We start from the raw sequence: 24,445 nt of genomic DNA, 5'->3' as shown, positions 1-24,445 counted from the left end.
GGCTCTATCAATTATTTTCTTTAACTTTTGTAGTAGATTTTCTTTCTCTTTTCTAGTTTCATGCTTAGAGAGCCTTAGTGCATAAAGGTCTCTAAAAGGAATTAAGACCTTCTGGAAATATGATTAAAAGGTCTTCCTTTTGTTTTACACCATGTATCATTCCCAATATAACATAATGTTCGCTCTGCTTAGACCTTGTGCTTTACATTTCTCAGAATGAGATAATCCACAGCCTAAATGCATATAGCTATAAAGTATTATGTGAATTGTCAAAGGAGGTATGCATTTTTTCATGATATTCTGAATTAATCACCAAATACGTTTATAAAAGGCTATGGGAATTACAGTTACCCTAATGCTTCTGAATTGCAAATATTCCTTATTTCTGTTTTGATTACTGTTGTCTTTAATTGAGTATGACTATTTTATGTGTACGGTTTAGTAACATAGCTGTTTGGGCTCTCTTTGTCTCTTTTGCAATGAACATTGCAAAGCAGCTGTTACAAGCATATATTTAGAGCCAAAGGGTACTCTGGCTTACATATGGGAGGGGTGAGGGAAGGATAATTGAATCACAAAATGCTTGTGTTAAAATATGCTCTGAGAAACAATGGAAACAGGAAAACAATGCCAGAATGGTGTCCACAGTGAAGAGAACAAAGCCTGACTCTAAACAGAGGTTGCTAAACAAATCAGTCCCTATGCAATTAGATGGAAAAGCACTTAGCAACAATATAAAAATGACAGACTAGCTGAAAATCAGCACAATAGAAGATGACTCAGACTCTCTAAAGTTTACATACTTTAGAACATTACTTTCAATTCCACATAGAGTTAGTTCACTTGCGACTTCATGATATGGAAATGAAAGTGATGATAAAAAAGAAATAATTTCTGCATTACAAACATAAAGTCAATACTAATTTGACTTTTATTAAAGAAACTCAAATCCTTCATAATTAATTCCTACTGAAATTTTGCCCAAAATCATACAGACTTTATAGTTTAGCTTTTTTTGTAGGTATAAAATTGACATATTAAGATTTCTGAACTTTTGCCCAGCATTTCTAGTTCTCTTATTCTTTTTAAAACTTCATATTTTAGATAGCAGGCCTCCCTGGCATCTGAAACAGCATGATTAAGTATGAATATACATGTCTTTACCTCCCTATAAAAGACTATTCTGTATGACCTGTACATTTCTCTTGGTGTAACACTATTGCTTCAATTTTATAGGCTCACACCTATGAGTTTTCAGTCTGCCAAACCCTCCTGGTGTGTGTGTGTGTGTGTGTGCGCGCGTGTGTGTGTGTACTGTCATACTCTAAGGAGAATGTGTCTTAACAACTGGAGGGTTTGTTTAATCTGACCTCTTTGAAGATTTGAATATGAAAGTTTGGGATCAAAGTTTAAAGTGGAGCAAATTACTCTGCATAAAATTGGAAGTTAATGAATTGGGGGTAAGAGTCAGTGAGAGAGATTGAGAGAAGCCATTAAGGCTGGATGCTACATAAGAGAACTTGTATGTGAGCTCTGGGTTACACTAAAGAAAAATACAGAAGTATATCAAGGAAATAGAAGTAACATAAAATCACAGATTGCAATCTTCATATCAGCCAAGTAAAATTCAATTAAAAAATGATGAAACCTAAAATTTAGGCCATGTTTAAACACTAAAAGTCATAATTTACAATAAAGACATAAAGATTTAATAATTATGTATATGTAAGTTATTTGTCTCTTTATCTCTATTTATTATCTATCTATCTATCTATCTATCTATCATCTATCATCGATCTATGCCAAGTAGCAAAATACCCACTTTTATAAAGTGGAAACTACAGAGGATAAAGAAGACATAGACAGGGACAAAGAAATGCAAGGGAGTGCAATAATCACTGAAAGTCAATTTTTTCAGATACGTGGTAGGACTTTTCAATATAGAAATTAAAGTTCTCTGTTATTTTTTACATTTTCTTTGTTTGGGTTAAAGGAGACTTTCATTCATTGCTCTATGTACAAGTCACATCAAGAGGAAAAGAAAATAAAGTTATAGGGGGAAAAATCACCTTTTCAGTACTCTCTAAACTCTTAAAATGTACTGTCTGCTATGGTTTGAATGTTTTCCCCAATGCAACAGTGTTGGGAGGTGGAGCCTCATGGGAGGTGTTTAGGTCATGAGGTCTCTGATCTTATAGATGAATTTATGCCCCTATAAAAAGGGCTTGCTGGAGTGGATTTGCTCTCTCTTGCTCTTCTGCCACGTGAGGACACAAAGTTCCTCTCTTCCAGAGAATTCAGGGTTAAAGGCACCACTTTGGAAGTGGAGACCAGGCCCTCACCAGACACCAAAATCTGCTGGTGCTTTGTTCTTAGACTTCCCAGCTCCAGAACTGTTAGAAATAAATTTCTGGCCCGGTGTGGTGGCTCATGCCTGTAATCCCAGCACTTTGGGAGGCTGAGGCGGGTGGATCACGAGGTCAGGAGTTCGAGATCAGGCTGGCCAACATGGTGAAACCCCGTCTCTACTAAATACAAAAAAAATTAGCTGGGCGTGGTGGTGCACCCCTGTAATCCTAGCTACTCAGGAGGCTGAGGCAGGATAATTGCTTGAACCCAGAAGGCGGAGGTTGCAGTGAGCTGAGATCGCGCCACTACACTCCAGCCTGGGGGAGGGAGTAAGACTCTGTCTCAGGAAAAAAAAAAAAAGAAAGAAATTCCTATTCGGTATAATTTACCAGTCTGTGATAGTCTGTTATAGCTGCGAGAATAGACTAAAACAGTGTCTTTCCATAATCTAGTACTTATTGTTTCTTGCCTGTCTTTCCCTCCTAACAACATGTACTTCCTGCCATATCCCTAGCACTTACAACAGCATCTGGCATACAATATTTGCTGAATAAACATCTGTTGAGAGACTGAACAACTGAAGGAATGAATCCTGTCTGGCACTCAAGTTTTAGTCTCCATCCAAAATAAATATGTTTTTTGATTTATTATTTCTTCAATTCTTGTTTATTTTCCATAAGTTTTTTTCTTTCTCAAAACTTCTTTTAAAAAAACTTCTTTTTTAAAAAAAAAATTGGAAAAAAGAACCATTCGTGCTGCATCTTCTCTCTCTTACTTCCCAGGAGGAAGAGAAGAATGATCATCAATGGCAAAAAGCAGTTGCAGCAAAGCAAAACCAAGAGCCAGCTTTAAGCTCAGGAGAGAGCGCTACATCTCCTCCTCTTGGTTTCTGGTGCTCTCCAGGTTCAGAGACACTTTTCTAGTAATAAACTGAAAAAAGATCACTGAAAGTATCATCTTTCTGAGACTTCTTTAATCAGATATTTTGTCTGGTCATTCTATTCCCAAATTATCTTCCATTTCTCATAATTTAAAACTTTGTTTTATTTTTTACTCTATATTATAATACCCAGATTATATTTCATCTTCTAAAGCTCTAATTACCTTTTTTATTCTTGTACAATTTAAATTCATAAAGTATAATTTGTTTGGTTTATTTATGTGCTTGACTCTACCTAGTTGCTGTGTATGTGTAGTTTATCTCCTACATATTCTATGACAGTTTTATTAAAAGTTTCTTCATATTATTTCATTAGCTGTGCATCTGTGGGATAACATATCCTGGTAATTTTATTTTGTTAATTTTCTTTAAAACATAAAATATTATGCATTACACACTGATTTATTTAAAAGAAAAAGATTAAGATCAGTTTGACAATTTTAGGAAGATCATTTTGGCAATCTAGAATTTTTGTTTATTATTAGTTTTTTTAAAATTTAGTAATAATTTATTACAAAGCACTTTGCTACTACCGGGGTGACACTACAACAGTAAATAAAAAGTTTGACTTCTACTAGAGGATGTACATCATACATTACATGGAAATCAGTTCCCACTATGTCTGGTCCATGCAGGGTGAGCCTCAACAAGAATTAGCAATTGCAGAATTTATAATTGCAGAATTTATAATGTTCAGCAATAACAAATTAAAAGGTGTTGTGTTTGAGGGCAAAGACTTAAGCATTTAGATTTAGTAAAGCTGAATTCCCAAATTAGGAAAAAAAATCTGATTTTAAGAGTTTGGACTCCTGAAGAGATTTGTCCCACTTCCGGTCACACTGATTTGCTCACTTTATTTTGTGACTTACTGGCTTAGCTTGTTTTCTTCTATATTGCTTTCCTTATAACAACAATAGAGAGAAAATGGGATACATTCCATATTTGTTATTGTCAGAACCCCAGTGGTTTAGATGTGATTGATGAATAAGATACACGAAGTTACAACAAAGCATTGAATAATGTGTAGTTAAAATCCAGCAGGCTTTATAAACAGGCACATGTAAATCATTTCAGCAATTTTCCCTCTTGTTTATGCCAATTAGTTCCCACATAAATGTCTACATGTTTGAAGCTATTTTAAATTGATTCAGCATTTTTCTCTCAAAATTGCAGATATCAAATATCTAGCATTTAAATGCTGCTTTAGCCTGAGACTAGAAGTGAGCTGCAATGCAACTGTAAACACATTTTGAATGAGTGGTTTTGATTTTATCTACCTTCATAGTTTATTAGTTTTATAATGACATGAAGACACAGAATACTTATCAAAATAAGGATTATTTTTTCTGTTAACCAAAATGTAAACAATTAGGTGAGTTAAGTTCTGGGTGCACTAGCTGTGCTTCTGCTTTACTAGTGTCTTTAAAAAGACAGAATACTGATAATTTTGTACCTGTGCTACTATTACAGCCTGCTAAAGAAGAATAGTGGACATGATGTTCTGAAATCACTTTCTGGTCATTAGGTTACTGAGATTATATCACTCAGTGAGAGCCTTTTCTTAACAAGGAGAAAGAACTATGTCCAGAGTTTATAGTGTCTTCCAACCATGCACTGAGACAATTTTCAATGACTAATTATAGCTTGAGGGAGCAGGAAAAGGCTACCAGAAAAAAAAAAAAAATCCATCAGAGGAGTTAATTTGTAGAAAGAAGGAGGAGTGCAGTTTCAAAGCAATTTTGTAAATTCCAAGTGTAACTACTTGCATTCTTCAAAACAATTTCCATCCTACTGACTTTAATGATAGGTCATTGGTATAGAAGAGATAAAACGTTCATTTCATAACTGCAGTGCCTATGTTTGTATAAGGTGTGCCCAGGAAAAAGTCAACTAGTTTTTTTAGAAATTTATTGGAGGAATATTTGAAATATTAAAGGCTATAGTCTATATAGTCAATTCATATTATAACTAAAGTCTCACTCCCTAGTTAGGCTTCAGTGTTCTCACATTGGCAATCTTTTATTGATTATTCTGAAACTTTGAAAAAAAAAAAACAACTAGATAGCCCCCACTCTAATTTTTAAATACTTTCTTGAAATTATAAAATTTTGCTGCATGTTTCTTGTAGTAAAATACATTTTATAGATTTGTTTAACTTACAGATTTTAGTGGCACCAAAAATTTAAAAATATAAAGTAGACTTAATCTTGCCAAATGATGACTGAGGAATGGAATGAAAACAAGTGTATACCTAAATCCTTTGGCTACATTTAAGTTACTTTTAGTAATAAAGATGTAATGAAAATGAAGCAACAGCCAGGCACAGTGGCTCATGCCTGCAATACCAGAACTTTGGGAGGCTGAGGCGGGTGGATCACCTGAGGTCAGGAGTTCGAGACCATCTTGACCAACATGGAGATACCCCATCTCTACTAAAAACACAAAATTAGCCATGTATGGTGACGCATGCCTGTAATCCCGGCTACTCAGGAGGCTGAGGCAGAAGAATCGCTTGAACCTGGGAGGCGGAGGTTGCGGTGAGCTGAGATCATGCCATTGCACTCCAGCCTGGGCAACAAGAGCGAAACTCCATCTCAAAACAAATACATAAATAAGAAAATGAAGCAACATATATATCATTCCAAAGCTGAAGCCAAAATCTTATCCTGAAATTAGATAATTATTGTCAGCAAAATTAGCCATAATGATCTCATCTAATAACTTACCTGATTTACATGCAAAGCCAGAATAATATCAAGAATTCAGTCACCTATCACACAGAGCACTTCATGTGTTTTACTTGAATAGCTTGGTCTTTCTCTTTCAGCCATGAGTGCCAGAGTGATATTTTATGCTTGTATGAAAGAAATACTTCAAAAATAAGAAAAAAACTATAGGATAATATGAACACTTATGGAATAGAAAGAAGGATGACATCACAACAAAATAAAGCAAAATAAATGGAGGAACACATTTGGGGCAGTGAAAAATTAGAATTTTCTGTGGTTGAGGAAGCAGGAGCTGTAGAGTAAAGTTGGGTTGCCCAGTGAGATTAAAAAATAAAAGGGCTCAAAAAACTGGTGAAGACTTGAAGAAGAACCATCCAGGGATTTTAAGAGTGAATAAAGAGATAAAATCAATATTTAAAAACAGTTGGTGTGATAAACAGATGGAAAGGTTAGAATTAAACCTGGAAAATTAAATGGCTCTTAAAGAATTCAAAGTAAATAGTGGTGGGGCTTCTATCCAGAGTGATGGCATAACTAATTGGAAATAAGCTAGAGAAAAAAAACTTTAAAAGAAAAAAAAGGTAAATATTTGATGTCTACTGCCTCAGAAACGACTGTGATATCCATGGCACTGAAGCCTGGAGGGAGTATGATACCATGATAACCACAGGAAAATGTAGGGGTTAGGAGGAATGGCTTAGGCTGAAGTCATGTTAAGGACAATGAGCAGTTGTTAAGTCAGAGATGTGGGATTCATTTATAGAGAATATACACAAGAGCAGAAAGGTAAAAAGGTGGATATTCTATACTGCATTCAATTGTTTATTGATTATCAATCTATTAACCAGGCATAGTCTGAAATACTGATACATGTTTTTTTTTCAAAACACATATTGCAAAAGTTAGTTTTCTATTCCAAGATCTCTCAGTTCTTTTCTCTAATAATAACACATTTATGTAGCCAATACCGATTTTTTAAAAGGACAAACATTCAAATTTTAACCTAGTCCAATTTTTCTAATTCATGTGTGAAGATTTTATGAAGCTCTGAGTTAAAATTTTCAAAAACTAGATTATTTATATAAAAATTGAAAAACTGCCTAATGGTTATCATTTTACCTGTAACTCAATCAAAGTGTTAACCAAATTTGGACTGTGGTGAAGAATTGCCAGTGAACAGTGGGTGGGATGAGAAAGGTAGCTAATTTGTTTTCAAATCACTTAGATTAAAATTAATATTGCTTTGCCAGCATAGGCCTAAACATATGAGAATTCATTTAGGAATTCAGCAATTGCAAATAAGTATAATTTGCTGAACAGTTCTATTTACCCCTGAATTCTAATAAGACCCATTATCATAATTTATCATTTAGGAAAGCATAGTGAAGTTAAAAAAAAAAAACCTTTCTGACTAGTCAGTGACTTTACAGAAAGAAGTGTTAGAATGATTATATGTGGGAGAAGGTATCCTTGCATCAGTGCATGGTTCCCTTTAAGGGAGTAATCATTAATTATTTATATAAGACAAGAAGTTACTCTAATAGCTTGTCAAAGTGTTGCTGGTCAGAATCATAGTGTCTTGAAATAGCAGTTTAAAAACAATTATTATTATTGTTATTACTATTTTTACCTCTGGGAGCCTTTATTGAATCAAAGTGCATTTTGAAACAGACAACATTCTTGCTGCTGTTAAGACAACATTCTGGTGTGCTTATAGCTTGGTTTCTTTGATGCTCCCACCCATTTTTCCCTCCCCCTCTTCTTTTAGGACTCAGTTACTTCTGGACTTTCTAACAGAAGGACCATTCTAATATGAAAACATTTCATTTTAGGAATACCCACATTGTAGGAGTGACACTTTTTTGTGTCCATTGATTGATAGACCAATTATCAAGAGGTTTCAGGCTAGAAACCTCTTACTACTCTAGGGAAAGGCCCTGCTGGTGAATGTTTTCATGAACAGTAACTAGCTGCATCCATCTGATTTCTTATCCATGAAGATACTTGGCTACACGTGATCGTCCTGTAATAATTGTGGTAGACTGAATAATGGCCCCAAAGACATCTACAGGCATACCCTGTTTCATTGCACTTCACTTTTTTGTGCTTTGCAGGTACTGTGATTTTTACAAACTGAAGGTTTGTGGCAACCCTACATTGTGCAAGTCTATTGATGCACTTTTTCCAACAGCAAGTGCTCCCTTTGTGTCTTTGTGTCACTTGGTAATTATTACAATATATCAACTTTGAAAATTATTATTATTATATTTGCTATGGTGATATGTGATCAGTGATCTTTGTTGTTACCACTGAAATCATTCTGGGGAACCACAAACAATGCTGATATAAGATGGCAGACTCGATCAACAAGTGGTGTGTGTGTTCTGACAGCTCCACTGACTGGTCATTTCTCCATCTCTCTCCCTCTGCTTGGGTCTCTCTATTTCCTGAGGCACAGCAATATTGAAATTAGGCCAATTTATAATACTACAATGGCTTTTAAGTGTTTCAGTAAAAGAAAGGGTTTCACATCTCTCACTTTAAATCGAAAGCTAGAAATGATTAAACTTAGTGAGGAAGGCATGTCAAAAGCTGAGATAGGCAGAAATCTAAGCCTCTTGTGCCAGTTAGCCAAGATGTGAATGCAAAGGTAAGTCCTTGAAAAAAATGCAAAGTGCTACTCCAGTGGACACACGAATGGTAAGAAGGTGAAAGACCCTCATTGCTGACATGGAGAAAGTTTCAGTGGTCTGGATAGAAGATTAAACCAACTGCAACATTGCCTTAAGCCAAAGCTTCATCTAGAGAATGGCCTTAATGCTCTTCTATTCTATGAAGAGAGGGAAGGAAGCTGCGAAGAAAAGTTTAAAGCTAGAAGAGGTTGGATCATGAGGTTTAAGGAAAGAAGTCTTTTCTATAAAGTCTTCTTTCACTTTGCACATAAAATTGCAAGGTGAAGCACCAAGTGCTGATGTAGATGTTGCAGCAAGATCTAGCTAAGATGATTAATGAATGTGGCTACACTCAATAACAAATTTTCAACGTAGATTAAACAGCCTTCTACTGTGTTGGAAGAAAATGCCATCTAGAACTTTCATAGCTAAAGAGGAGGCACCAATTCCTGGTTTCAGAGCTTAAAATGTAAGCTGATTCTCTTGTGAGGGGCTAATACAGCTGGTGACTTTAGGTTGAAGCCAATGCTCATTTACCGTTCTAAAAATATTAAGATGCTTAAGGTTTATCTTAAATCTACTCTGCCTGTGCTATATAAATGAAACAACAAAGCCTGATGACAGCACATCTGTTTACAGCAGGGTTTACTGAATATTTTAAGCTCCCTGTGGAGAGCTACTGCTCAGAAAAGAGGTTTCTTTCAAAATATACTGCTCATTGACAATGCACCTAGTCACCCAAGAGCTTTGATGGAGATGTGCAAGATTACTCTTGTTGTCATGCTTGCTGACACAACATACATTAGGTAGCCCGTGGATGAAGGAGTCATTCTGACTTTCAAGTCTTATATTTAAAAAATACATTTTGTAAGGCTACAGCTGCCATAGATAGTTATTTCTCTCATGGATCTGGCAAAGTAAATTGAGGAAAGGAGTCGCTCTTCTAGGTGCCATTAAGAGCATTCATAATTCATGAAAGGAGATCAAAATATTAACATTAACAGGAGTTTGGAAGAAATTGATTCTAACCCTCATGGATGACTTCGAGGAGTTCAAGACTTCAGCAGAAGAAGTAACTGCTAATAAACATTAGCAGAATGGAAACAGCAAGAGAACTAGAATTAGAAGCAGAGGCTGAAGATGTGACTGAATTGCTACGATTACATGAGAAAAAAATTAATGTAAAAGGAGTTGCTTTTTATGAATGAGAGTAAAAAAGTGTTTTTTTGAGATGGAGTCTACTCCTGGTGAAGATAATTTAAGCATTGTTGAAATGACAAAAAAAATTATAATATTACATAAACTTAGTTGATAAAGTAGTGGTGGGGTTTGAAAGGATTGACTCTAATTTTGAAAGAAGTTCCACTGTGGGTGAAATTCTATCAAACAGCATGGTATGCTACAGAGAAATATTTTGTGAAAGGAAGAGTCAATTGATGTGGTAATCTCCATTGAAGTCTTATTTTAAGAAATTGCCACAGCCACCTTAGCCTTCATCAACCACCACCCTGATCAGTCATCAGCCATCAACATCTGAGGCAGGACTCTCCACCAGCAAAAACGCTACAACCTGCTGAAGACTCAGAAGATTTTTGGCATTTTTTTGCAATAAAGTATTTTTAATTAAGATATGTACATTGTTCTTTTAGACATAATGCTATTACACATTTAATAGACTACAATATATTGTATATATGTTTTATAATTACTGGGAAACAAAAATATATGTGATTTGCTTTGTTGTGACGTTATTGTTATTGTCTGGAAGCTAACCCAAAATATATTTGGGGTATGCCTGTACAATCCTATTCTCTGGAACCTGTAAATGTTGACTTACATGACAAAAGGGATTTTTTCAGATGTGATTAAGTTGAAGATCTTGAGAGAAAGAGATTATCATGGATAATCAGGGAAGGACCTAAATATAATGACTGTCTTCTATGAAAAGGGAGACAGTAAAATACATGATTAGAGAGAGGAGAGAGAGGCAATGTAATTATAGAAGCAAAAGGTTGCACAGGTGCAAAAAAGGCGTCATGGGCGATGGAATGTAGGTAGCCTCCAGAAGCTAAAAAAAGGCAAGGGGAGAAATCTTCTCTTAGTTCCTCCAGAAGGAGCTAACCTCTCAAACACCTTCACATTAGCTCAATGAAGATAATTTCAGCCTCCTGAACTGAAAGAGAATACATTTATGTTGTTCTAAGCCATGAAGGTGTTGGTAGCTGGTTATAGCAGCCATAGGAAACTAATGCATATGCTAATCATGTAATGATAAAACTAGTAAGCATGCAATGTTTATACAGGAAAAAGCCTTCCTATAAGGAATGGTAGTATATTTCACTAGTAGAGTACTTTACAGATTTTAGAGTTCTTTTAAATTATTACTCCCATTTGATTCTCAAAACAATTCTATAAGTAAGCAGGAAAGATATTATTATAATACCTATTTTACTAATGAAGAAATTGAAGCTAAGGGAGCTTACATGTCTTGTGGTAAAAAAAAGTTATTTGACTCTTTGCCTAGTAATTTCTTCTCTATAGGGTCCTGTTTCTTTAAAAAGGAGCTCAGAAAAGCATCTGTAACCAGCTATATAGACCACATTTCTTTAAGGAAGGCAAATACTTTTCTGGTCCATAGTCAGACGCATTATCCATTGCAACACTGGCCTGTGCTTGCAAATGTTTTCTTAAACTGGATAAATAGAAAATTCATCATGGAAAGACAACCTTCTACCTTAAATTCATGTTAAGCAGAAGTTTATTGATTGGTAGATGCAAGATCCTCTCTACACAAGAAAGAATTAAGCAGAATATTCATATGAATTTATATTACTTAATATGGGGTATGCCATTGAAAGGAGTTAGCAAGCTTGCTTTAGGCAAACAGTAAGGAAAGGGTCCTGGAGAGCCTTTGACCTGCCCTGTAGGTGCTTGCACCAGATGTTTTGTGCAGATAAAGGAACTTGCAAAGGGGGCTTGCCTAAACGTACAGACTAAGGGCCCACATACAACTAGGGGAATGGGATGGAGCCACCAGCAATTCATGCCTTATATAAATAGGGAACCCACCTTCATCAGCTTGTATGTAAAGGCCCTTGTATTCAACTCTGAAGGGGGCAACCAGCAACCTGCTATTAGAACCCCTCTTTTTGCTGAGAGCTTTCCTTTTCACTTAATAAATTCTACTCCACTCATTTTTTCAATGTCCGCATGCTTATTCTTCCTGGTCATGAGACAAGAACCTGGACGTAGCTGAGCTAAGGCACAAAAAACCTGCATCATTTTGGGGGCTCATCTGGGATACCTGGTGGGTGAGTAAATGCAGTCCCACAGCCTTTCACTTTCATTTCTGAGCCTTCTTGTCCTCAGACTTTTCCTGAAGGCAGATGCAGCACTGAACCTCTGGTGAGCCAATTAGGAATGAATGGCACAGCTACAGAGGACAGGATGCAGGAGAGGACCATGACACGCCCACCCCCGTCATCCTCTGGGGTTGGGAATGTCGGTCTCGTCCCAATCCAGTCTTTTCTATGGCGTTTTACTTCTTTTTTTCAGTACTGTCACGGCACCTATCTCTTCTTTTGTAATGTTAAGGGTGTTGCTGCAAACTGCGGAGATATTACTAGGTAGAATGAGCCTTTGACCCAGCCATCAGACATGCAATTCAGAATAATGCGATTTCCTTCTGTTCTTAGAGGTGTCGCCCACCCCCATCCTGATGGACATGTGGGGTGGGAATGAGCTGTGGCTGCCACCTGGGCCCGGGCCCCAGGACAGCCTCGGTAGCCAAGGGCCCCATGTGGCCAGCTGGCCAGTGTTTCCTGCTTACCATCCCCCCGACGCCATGCACCAACAGAGTCTTTCCTCCCGTGGCCAAGCCAGGAAGAGGGTACAATGATTGAAAGTTTCTCTCCCTGTTGGAGGAACCCATTTGCATAGAGCTAGAGGATTTTCCCTCAGGCATCTTCCCTGCCCTGCCCTTAAGCTGTTTTTTTTTTTTTTCTTTTCCCCACACTGTCAGGAGTTACCTTTTATGCAAGAGGTTTTTTTTTTTCCTTTGGAAGACATCTTATTAGGCCAGTACCCCAATTCACAAGACATCCTTTTCTCTCCCTTGTTTGAGGAGGACTCAGCTCCATAGCTTTACCTTAGCATGACTAAGTCCTGCTGAATTTCATGGATAGAGGAGGTCATGGTAGCATTCATGGATAGAGGATGCTCCCACTTCATGGATAGAGGTCATGCTAGCATTCATGGCATAGACAAGGTCTAGGGAACTCAAAGGCTACTGACAGCATTGGGAAAAGGCCACATGTGGATAAGTGTGGATAATTCCCACCCCCTCGGCCCCCTGTTAATGTGGGTGAAAACCTCTGTTTTCCTTATGAAACCCCAGGAATTGAAAGCAGAAAGATCCCTCTCAAAACCTTTAGGGTTCCTAACCTGTGGTAAGTAAAGAATGTTACTTTCTAATAGGCCCAGGAGACCCATGTTCTTGAGACCTCAAGAAAAGAGGAATTTACTCAACTCATAGGTATTTGAGGCTACCAACCCATGGCTGGCCTCAGCTGTAAAAGGTCTTATCTGAGATTCCGTGGGGAACAGGGTGTCATTAAAGCCGATTTAAAGGCCTGTGTGAAAAACAATTACTCATGCTGCACTTTACGCAAATAATCAGGCCAAGTATAAGACTAAGGTTTATTTTACAAGCAACTTAGTCCTATCATGATTTGTTTTTGACAAAAATGGGGACTAGAGAGAGAAAAATTATGTTTCAATGCTTACCATATACTTGTTATTAAATTCTCGTCTCATCTGTTGTTTTTAGGTTTTTGCCTACATTCTAGACTAACCCTGTTTATCCCCGTGAACCAACCAGTGATCTCTGGCTGTATCTCAGAAGAAACAGACAGATGGGTAATATAAAGATCTAGATCAATAGTCTAGTTCTGGACAATTATCCTGCAAAGCCTGCAAGGTGGTAAGAATAAATGGGGTGCCCATAACCCAGAAGTTTCTTTGTTATGGAAAATAAGACCAAGGGAGCTAACCAGAGCCAAGCCCCATGCCCCCACATCTTGGCAGGCATAACTATAGCCACCAGTTTTCTGGGCATTTCAGCAGCCTTGGGGTTTTTTTGAGCTGCCCTTACCCCCTTGTTTCATTTTGATGTGCATCTTCTAATAACCCTAATTGTTTATTCTTGCTTAGCGGCCATTAAACTTCAAATGGTGTTGCTAATGGAACCAGGTATGAATGTGTCATTTTTCTGGAGACCCTTAAAGTGACCTCAAGAGGAGCCCTAACTGCCGCTTTCCTAAAACAGTGCCCCCTGTCAGCAGGAAGCAGTTAAGAGCTGTCATTGACCACTTTCCCCACCAGCAGTTGGGGTATCCACTCCTCAAGCGGGGAATGAAAGGCATTAGCCACCTTGCTTTAGGTAGACAGTAAGGGAAGGGTCCCGGAGAGCCTCTGACCCACCCCACAGGTGCTTGTACCAGATGTTTTGTGCAGATAAGGGAACTTGCAAAGGGGGCTTGATTAAACATGCCAGCAGCCGACTAAGGGCCCACATGCACACTGGGGGAATAGGGTGGAGGCACCAGGAATTTTCACCTTATACAAATAAAGAAGTCAGCCCCATCAGTCCGTATGTAAAAGCCCCTGTATTCAGCTGTGAACAGGGCACCAGCAACCTGCTTTTAGGGCCCCTCTTTTTGCTGAGAGCTTTCCTTTCCTAATAAATTTCACTCCACTCACTCTTCGACATCTGCATGCCTATTTCTTCCTGGTTGTGAGAGAAGAACCTGGAACTAGCTGAGCTAAGGAGCAAAAATCCTGCATCACAACTTAGCATAGAACATAGTGAATCCTAAAATGAAACCAGAAATATTTTAGAAAATAATAATCTTAAATATATAGACAGCTAAATAGAATAAAAAACTAAAATAAAAAGTATACCACAAATGTGAAAGTGATGGTTTCATATTTCTAAAGATCACCCAAGGAGACAGTTTAGAAATTAAAATGAAAAGTACATTTTTAGAATGTATTAAAGATATTATAACTATGTCCAGCTTTATTTTCATGCTGTGTCTGCAATCTCCACTAGGATGACAATATGCCTATAACCAAGAATTTTCTCATTTTCCATGGTCAACATTATAATTACTGTAAAGGCAAACAGCATGGCTGAGTACAAAGTACATTCAACAGGTAAAGCATACAGTATAAAGTCTATACTGTAGCTATGCAAATGCCATCATCCTCAAAAGCACAAGTAAATATTGATTAAGAACTTTAAGCACTTTGAAGGTTGCTGGAGCAAAATGAATACGTTTAGAAGTTTTTAGAGATTGTTTTGACTCTATTGGGTTCCTGGAACTGAGTTATTCAATACTTCTGAAAGAAGGGGGCAACATATTAGATAGCAGAAAGTGGTTCAAGACCACACCTCAGAGAAACTTTAAAAAAATGAAGGATTAAGAAAGTCATTATTTGATATTTTTAAAAATAAATAACCTCAGTAGAAATCCATTTTAATTTTAACCTTTATATTACTAACTAGAACTCATCTTTTATTCTATTTCCTTTCATATAATTCAGATCTGCCCTAGTACGTCACTGAAGAGAGACTAAAGAAAAAATTGTCTAATTTCATAGGACATTATAGGTAAGCTGATTTTTACAGAAATCCTTTACAAATTGGTTAGGGCCAATGTTGTTAGACCTGAAGACAACATTAGAAATTAACTCTGGCGTTTCATAGCATAAAAAAGAGAGGCTTAGAATGATGTGTGATGGTCTCACCATCCATGCTGTTAATCACATTAAAAACCTGAACAACAAACAGACCCCAAGAACACCTTATGTCCTCAAAGGCAATTTGCCATTTAAAAATAAATTCTCAAATCTGTCGACTATATTCTCTCAAACCTTGATAGCCTAAGCTTCCAATTTTTCTCCTTTGGAAAACTTCAATAGCCTACTTACTACCCTTGTTCTTCATCATCCTATCTCCTTTCCCTCTAACTTTTGCCCCCCATAAAGCCAGAGTGATTTTGAAGTTTATATGTCATCATAGAACTTCGTAGTAAAATTATTTCAGTAGCTTCTCACTGGTCTTGTGATGAAGGCTAAGTTCCCTGGCCTCAGCCCTGGCTGTTTTTCAACTAAATCTCACTTCCCATCCAGCCCCACTCATCACTCCTTTGCAGCCACACCAGCCTCCTGTGCGTTCTTCTCACCCTGGAGGCTTTCCTTGCCCAGTCCAGTTACTCCCTCAGACCTCAACTCAAGCCTGACTTCCTACAAGTCTTCCCTGACTTTCTGACTTATTTACTAAACCCCTGTCGTAGACTCTTATAGCGACATGTAGCTTTCTTTCATGGCACTTATGACAGTTGTGATTTCACATCTGTATATATGGCGTAGTCTCCCCATGAAACTATAAGTTCCAGAAAGGCAGTATTAGAATCATAGTGTTTTCTCACCACCAGTTACTAAAAGCTGATCACAATTTCTAGGCCAATAAAATGATAAAAGTGATCTGATAAAATGAAAACTATATAGTGATTTTCAAACTATTTTAGTAGTAGGAATACTTTATTAAAAAGAAAATCTTACACAAAAATCTTAAAAGATAGAGCAAATAAAAGTGGCACGTTAATCAGATACATTAAGTTTAGTTTTTAACATTTATGTAAGATAGTCATCAAATTTTAAAAATACAAATATTTTGGAAATCACAAAATGTTTTGAAAAAGAAATTGAATTAGGGGATTTTGCATGAAAAATTTCAAGGACAAATAAGTCTAAGCATCTGTTTTATCTTACAATTTTGTTTTGATTAGTTGAGCAGAGTAAAATCCAAATACATATAAGTGGGCAGCTACAACAATAACAGCATTCTATTCGCAGGATGCTCTTCATTTAAAATGTAGCAGAATCCTGAATAATAGAGGGTTTTTTCCCATTTTTCAATAAATAGCAACCTCTAATTACTGCTTACATTCTCTCACAGGTGAAACATTTATAATGAGCAGAAGACTGGGATCCTTAGCCAGTTTGACACTTTATTTTTGGTGAAAAATAAGTTTCCAAATATATCTTAAAATGATATAAATCAGTGATTTTTTTTATTAGGTCTCAGTTATGTTGGTGACATTTGTCTCAGATACTTGCTTAAGTTTTCAAGACACTCCACATGTTTTCTGTTTGTCAAGTTAAATCCCAAATCCATTCCCTAACACTATATGCTATAGCACGTAGTTTAACAGTGCAATCCCCTGCTGCCAAATGAAGCCTTCCGATATACTAAAAAATAAAAATACTCTGAGAGGCTGAGGCAGGAGAATCGCTTGAATGCAGGAGGCAGAGGTTACGGTCAGCTAAGATCGCACCATTGCGCTCCAGCCTGGGCAAAAAGAGAGAAACTTCGTCTCCGAAATAATAATAATAATAATAATAATAATAATAATAATATAAAATATCCAACCCATTTCAAACATATTGTACAAACATGTTTGAAAGAGATGATGCATTTGAGATATTAAGCAAATGAATTATTTTCATCCACAAAATAATGAGTTTGTCTCGTATGATATATTCAAACCTCCACCTTGATTCTAGACTGTTACAAATATTTCTGAAAAAGCCTGCTATTTAATAAGATTATTAATACATTTGACAATTTTGTGACAGCTTCCAAACTGGTTTTGAAAGATGCTGGCTTCTATGATTTCTTTGCAACATGTGGTGCTGACTTGAACACATTTCAGCAATAGATTCATACTTGCCATCTCGGCAGTTGTTGACCTCAGTGTTTTCACACTGCCAGTACAGATGTCACATTTTTGCCAACATCCTTTATGGGGTGTAAAGAGTGATCCAAACACTAGCAAAAAATTCCCCTGTTGTCTAAGTGTCAAGCGTTTAAATTAATGCATCTTCCTAACGTTCACCTTCATGTACAGTATAAAATAAGCAAATGGAAATCAGAAACGCAGGTACTCTCACTGAAATGAACTGTAAATGGGGCAGTTATGAATCCCAGCCCATAAATTCAAGTGCACAAAGAATATAAATATTTAATCCAACAATTTCTACATCAAGCTCTCATTTATTAGGCTGTAAGTTACTAAGTATTTGAGTGTTTCTTCCTATCCCTAGAAGTATATCAAAGTTCCCAGTGAGTTTATGCAATACTAGGTATTAGGACAGCCACCCCTGGTAGTATTTGGTATTTGAACTTCATCAATGACTATTGAAATATCTATTTCCTTTTTCAGATCCTGTGAGTCTTCTAAGGTACCTCCCTGCTTGCTAGGGCATAGGAATTTGCACATGGGAATCTACAGTCTTTTATGCCAAGAAACAATTCCCAGAAATCATTTCCTTCTCAAGTGGCTTTCTGGCCTCCCTGGAGCTCAACACAGTTTTTAGGGCTCAAGGTCCCTCTTTCTATTTATTTTCTGCTCCCATCATTTCTTTATTTTTCCTTCCTGACCAAGATGTTTTTTTTTTTCTTTTTTATTACAGGAACAAAAAGACATATTATTTTCTGCCTGTTCCTTGTGGGAAAAAATTCAAATTTTCTAAATTTTATAAGGGCTGCAATTTCCGAAATATTCTTCCATTCATTCAGGAAGTACTTGAATATCTACTAAATGCCAACCACTCTTTTCTGGATGTTTAGCAGTAAGCAAAAACAAAGTTATGCTTGTGGAAAGAAACAAAAAAAATAAGCAATTTAAAAAATAAATATAAACCATATTCTGAGAATGCTAATTTTTGCATTTTGTAAGGGGATAAATGGAGAAATGCTCACTAAAAAAGTGACATTTGAGGAGATACATGAGTGAAATACAGAATTTGGAAAGAAAAATTAGTAACTGCAACATCCTTGATACAGGCTGGAGTTGGCTAGCTTTATTCAGGATTATCAAGAAGGCCAATATAATTGGAGCCGAGAGGGCAAAGGGAGGAAGGAATAGTTATATAATAAAAACCAATGTGGACTTCCAGCCTTTTTTGTCTACCTTCACCCCTTTCCAGAGTCAGCACAGAGGTGGCTATGGAAAAAGAGAAAAAAAATCTTCAATAAAAACGGAAAGTAAAAAGAGTGGAAACTAATATCTCAAATGTTTTCTAAACTAACAAAGATTCCACAGAATTTCAGACTTTGGACAAATGTTATCATTCTTATTAGATGGTCATTCTTGGAATTGTTTCTGCTTAGAATTATCTGAAAATGGCACTGCTTGCAGTTCCCTCCCAGTTGATTCATATCATGTACTTGTTGCAATGTTAGTCATCCAGGAATTTTATCCTAATTATATCTGCTGCTCCTTTGATTGCAATGAATTTAATTCACCTTACCTATTAACTTACTTAAACTCTTTTAGTATTGTTAAGCCATTCACAATAAGCTAAAAGGAAGCTAAAGGTTTGTTTATGTTCTTTAGTCTATGCTTAAAATAACACATAGACTTTTGCAGGGTCCACAAAACTATTGTACAAAAGTGCACAATATAAAATTCTTTAAGAATTTGGGCAGTGTTTATCCAAATATTTGTGAAATGCAAAGACATTATACTTTCTTGTCTTTCAGTGAATTCACATAAACATTATTAGGCCACCCCTTTAATTCATGCATTATTGACAATGTGGTTGATACTGGTTGAAGAAACAGTCATTGAGGAATACTAAAAATTGTCCTTTGATCTAAAACCTAAAATATCAGTCATTGTCAAAGCTTATTTTAAAATTTCTTGCTATTACTGGTGATAAAGTTCTACATTTAAGAAAAATTATTTGTACCTCACTTGAAAAGAAATAACTTTTGTAAGTGTAAATTTAGGATGGTTACCAAAAAATAAACTTCACATACTCTAATAGTGGAATAAGCTTCAGAACCATTTATAAAAATGACTAATGCAGCATTATCAAGACTTAGCTACATGTTCACTTGTTATTGTATAACTCTCAGGAGCATGCATGGAGCTTTGTCTGGCATTTAATTAAGCCCATTTTATGTCTGTCATGAAAGAATACTGGCTTGAAAAAATGATTATGAAAAGTCATGCTCAACCCTACGTTCAAAGAATGATGCACGCAAAGCTACAAACAAATGTATGCCCAGAAATGGCCAGAAAATGTTATTGGGGTTGTACAGAAATGAGTTGAACTGACATAAAAAATTAACAATAGTCACTGATATGTTAACAGATGCTAAAAGCCACATTTGCTTGGGTAGTTTACCCATAGTTTTAAAATGTTTAAATAAAATGTTTTATAAATGCAAATTATACATTTATTGAGAACTTGGAGCTTAATCAGCAGTTTGAAACTTTGATCACTCCAAATTATCAGAATAGAATAAGGAACAGAAGCTAGTCTCTGCTTCTTTATAACCTGGTCAGCTGTGTAAACATATAGAAAAAAGAATAGTATGAACCGAGTGAGAGATAATATTTATCAACTCTACATTTTTCAGAGCTCCAACAAATTCCAGCAGGCCCAGTGTAGAGCCAGAGCCAAGGACACCATAGAAAATAGTTGGCAGCAAAGACACCAAAGAAAATAGTTGGCAGCAAAGACACCAAAGAAAATAGTTGGCAGCAAAGCCAGGCAAAGGAAACAAATTAGAAAATGGTAGCCTACCTTATTTGAAACCAGGGTAAGCCTGACACAGAATATTGTATACAAATTATAATTTTTCCACCTCAGGAAGGATATGTTTAAAAATTCAAACAGGTGGAGAAGCTTCTATCAAGTAATAAAAGATTAACACCTTTAGATTTTAGTGACAGATTAAGATGAACTAGTGAGCTTTCAGTCTTCTCTTTACTCACTTTCTCATCGCTGACTAGAGCTCTCTTTCCAAACCACAAATCTGCTTTTGCCCATCTATTAGCCATTTAGGAACTTTTGAATTCCTATGAGATAAAGCCTACTTTCTTCAACATGCCATGTCAGGTCCACCACAATTAAGCTGCAAGGTAAGGTTTTACCTGTAATTCCACTCATATTCGATCCCCTCACGTTTAGTCTATTCAGGAATATCCATTATTCCCCCAAAACTCCTTGAAATTTTACTATGCTATTATTCCCTCTCGCAGAACACCTTCTTTCTCCGTTCCCTTCCCTTCCCTTCCCTTCCCTTCCCTTCCCTTCCCTTCCCTTCCCTTCCCTTCCCTTCCCTTCCCTTCCCTTCCCTTCCTTTCCCTTCCCTTTCTCCCTTTCTCTCTCTCTTTCTCTCTTTCTCTTTCTTTCTTTGCTGTCTTTCTCTCTTTCTTTCTTAGACGGAGTCTCGGTCTATCTCCCAGGCTCAAGTGCAGTCATGCCATCTCAGCTCACTGCAACCTCTGCCCCCTGGGTTCAAGCAATTCTCCTGCCTCAGCCTCCCGAGTAGCTGGGATTACAGGTGTGCGCCACTATACCCGGCTAATTTTTGTACTTTTAGTAGAGACAGGGTTTCCCCATGTTAACCAGGCTGGTCTCGAACTCCTGACCTCAAGTTATCTGCCTGCCTCGGCCTCCCAAGTTGCTGGAATTACAGGAGTGAGCTACTGCGCCCAGCCCCTTTTCTACCAGTTAGACTTTAGCACCTCATTCAACACCAAATGACATTGTGTCAGGAGAGTAAGTGTTCTCCCTAGTCTTCACCTATATTAACAACCTTACTTTTTCTGTAGCAATATTTATTCTCTGCGTTGTCCATATTAACAGGACCACACTTTTCCCATAGTAGCCATGTACCCCTCTTAAGAAAAAAGAGACATTGCCCAGACTCTTTTATAATTATGTGTGGCCCAGAATAGACAATGAGATATAAGTGGAAGTCATCTGGGGGGACTTTCAGGGTCTTTTTACCTTTCCTTTCCTTTGTGACTTACCTTACCTTACCTTACCTTTCCTTTGTGACTACAAAGCAAGGTCACATGCTGAGGAGAGTAGGATAAAAATACATAGAATCTAGTTCCCTGGTGTCATTTTAAGATGCTGCACTTCTAGATTTCTTGTTACATATTAAAGTTAATTCTCTCATTTGTTTGAGATGTTTCTCAGTTATATTTTGTGTTACTCCAGAATTATAATTATTTGTTTGCATTTTAGTCTCCTCCACAGGAGCATAAATTCATAGAAATGTGTTCATCTTTGTTTCCACAAAGTATAATATCTAGCACAAAGTAGGTGGTAATTTATGAGTAGTGGCAATTTGATTGCTGCTATTAAAAACTTTATTGCATGAAAAGGACATTTATGTCTCTGACCAGAAATAGACTGGTAAAAGTTTTAATAAATGTATGGAACATGGGTTAATAACAGGTGATTGATGGTAGAACTGTTGCTGTAGGGCATTATAGGCAACTTTTGTAACATCATAAGGAAGTCAACTGCTAACTGTCATTGGAGCCATTATAAGTCTCAGAATAAGGAATAGAAAGTACAACTTTTACATGACCTAGTATGACATGTTCTCTTTTTAATGAAAAAAAAATCCATGGAAAGAAAACTGTGATGTTGAAAGACTCTCAAAAGAGAATCTTTCAGAAGTAAAAGACAGAAAATAATTTTGCAGCAAAAAACATTTCATGCCAAGAATCACAATCACATTCATAATTTGGAGTCTGGGTCTTCCAAGAAGCTGGAGAACCTGTGCTTCCCTCTTTCTTCTGCTAATTTCAACTAATAACCCTGGATATTATGTGCAAAATAAGAAGACAAAAACCCTGCTATTATATAGATAAGAAGACTGTGAAATATAGCAAGAAGAAGGCAGACAGGTTGATGACACCCAAAGAATGACACGATGGGCTTATTTTTACCTCATATATCCCACACATGGAGCTAAAGAAGCTGGCAACCTCAAGATACCAGTCGGCACAGACAACTCCTCCCTCCCCTCCAAAAAAATTTTGCTCTCTTAAGCCAAAGGATAAGGAAAGTGGAAGCCTAACAAGACAGAAGATTTTAGAAAATAACAGCTATATGGCTGGGCGTGGTGGCTCACGCCTGTAATCCCAGCACTTTGGGAGGCTGAGGTGGGTGGATCATGAAGTCAGGAGTTCGAGACCATCCTGGCCAACATGGTGAAACCCTGTCTCTACTAAAAATATAAAAAGTAGCTGGGCATGGTGGTGTGTGCCTGTAGTCCCAGCTACTCAGGAGGCAGAGGCAGGAGAATCACTTGAACCCAGGAGGCGGAGGTTGCAGTGAGCTGAGATCGTGCCATTGCACTCCAGCCTGGGTGACAGAGTGAGACTCTGTCTCGAAAAATAAAATAACAGCTACATTTTAGTTATTTATCACATAAATTACTGTGGCCTGAGTCCAGCCCACACCAGCCAACCAAGCCAGAATCCTGGGCTTTCACCATCACCAGGTGGTAATGACAAACGCCCCCCATTTCCCCCACCCTCCACAAAAGTCATATCAAAGAAAGACATCTTTCCTCTCTGAGTAACAGCAAGTCCCTGTAGTGTCAGTGGAGACCAGGTGGGAAAGCTGGATGTCCACTCCAACTCAACAGTAATAAGGCATCCTCCCACATGTTCGAGTGATGTCAGAAGACCAGGGGAGAGTCAGGACTTTTAACACTTCTCAGTGGTAATGAGATCAACCCCCTACCCCAAGTGTCAGTGGGGACCACATGGGAAACAGGAAATAGGCACTCCTACGCCTCCCAGCGAGGGAGGTATCATACGTTTCTAGTGGGGGCTGGTCATCCCAACTCCATCCGTCTCCAAACATTTTATATATATATATATATATATTTAAATTTTCATTTTAGATTTGAGGGTACATGTGAAGGTTAGTTACATAGATAAACATGTGACATGAGGGTTGGTTGTGCATATTAGCATATCACCCAGGTATTCAACTCAGTAACCAGTAGTTATCTTTTCTGCTTCCCCTCTTCCTCCCACCCTTCCCCCTGAGGTAAATCCCAGTGTCTGTTGTTTCCTTCTTTGTGTTCATAAGTTCTTATCATTTAGCTCTCTTCCAAACACTTTAAAACCTAACCACATGCTTCTAAATAATCTATGCATAAAACAGATAGCCTCAAGAAAAATAAAAAAATATACATTGCCTTGCTAGAAGGAATATAAAAATGTAGTCCAAAAAATTGTAGGACATACCTAAAGTAGTGCTGAGATAAAATTTATAGCAGTAGATGCATACGTAAAAGAAGAAAAGTCTCAGCCGGGCGCGGTGGCTCAAGCCTGTAATCCCAGCAGTTTGGGAGCCTAACGCGGGCAGATCACCTGAGGTCAGGAGTTCGAGACCAGCCAGGCCAGCATGGTGAAACCCTGTCTCTACTAAAAAAATACAAAAATTAGCCGGTCTACGTGGCATAAGCCTGTAATCGCAGCTACTCGGGAAGCTGAGGTAGGAGAATTGCTTGAACCCAGGAGGTGGAGGTTACGGTGACCTGAGACTGTGACACTGCACTCCAGCCTGGGCAACAGCGTGAGACTCCATCTCAAAAAAAATAATAAAAGTCTGAAATTAATAATTTAAACTTCCACCACAAGAAGATATAAAAAGAAAAGCAAAATAAACATAAGACACATATAAAAAGTAAGTAGGAATGTGGGCTGGAAGAAAATGGGTATGCCTGTAGAAGAGAAAATAATAAAGATAAGAGCAGAAATCAACGAAATTGATAATGGAAAAATAATAGAGAAAATCAGTGAACCAAACATCTGGTTCTTCAAAATGATTGATGAAGCTGAAAAACCTAACAC

The 24,445-nt window shown here is 37.3% G+C and overlaps 1 long non-coding RNA gene and 1 other non-coding gene across 2 annotated transcripts, besides 1 other annotated feature; one reads left to right on the top strand and one right to left on the bottom strand.

Moving 5' to 3' along the window:
- Positions 1-3,094: 3,094 nt before the first annotated feature.
- LOC124901860 (small nucleolar RNA U3) lies at positions 3,095-3,309 on the bottom strand. Its single transcript, XR_007060687.1, has one exon. It is a non-coding gene; the product is annotated as a small nucleolar RNA U3 (small nucleolar RNA).
- Positions 3,310-10,372: 7,063 nt separating this feature from the next.
- LOC105375150 (uncharacterized) lies at positions 10,373-18,813 on the top strand. The gene is made up of 2 exons (XR_001745089.1): positions 10,373-15,363; positions 17,981-18,813. It is a non-coding gene; the product is annotated as an uncharacterized LOC105375150 (long non-coding RNA).
- Positions 13,177-13,377: a silencer, noted in NCBI's record as "peak6380 fragment used in MPRA reporter construct". NCBI's record gives its function as "represses an SCP1 promoter by STARR-seq MPRAs in K562 erythroleukemia cells {active_cell/tissue: K562}" and the evidence as "EXISTENCE:reporter gene assay evidence [ECO:0000049][PMID:32103011]".
- Positions 18,814-24,445: the final 5,632 nt, after the last annotated feature.

Source organism: Homo sapiens, chromosome 7 (assembly GCF_000001405.40).
Source record: "Homo sapiens chromosome 7, GRCh38.p14 Primary Assembly".
Lineage (NCBI taxonomy): Eukaryota > Metazoa > Chordata > Mammalia > Primates > Hominidae > Homo > Homo sapiens.
Note: the sequence above shows the minus strand (reverse complement) of the source record. Positions and strands in the feature narration are given on the sequence as shown.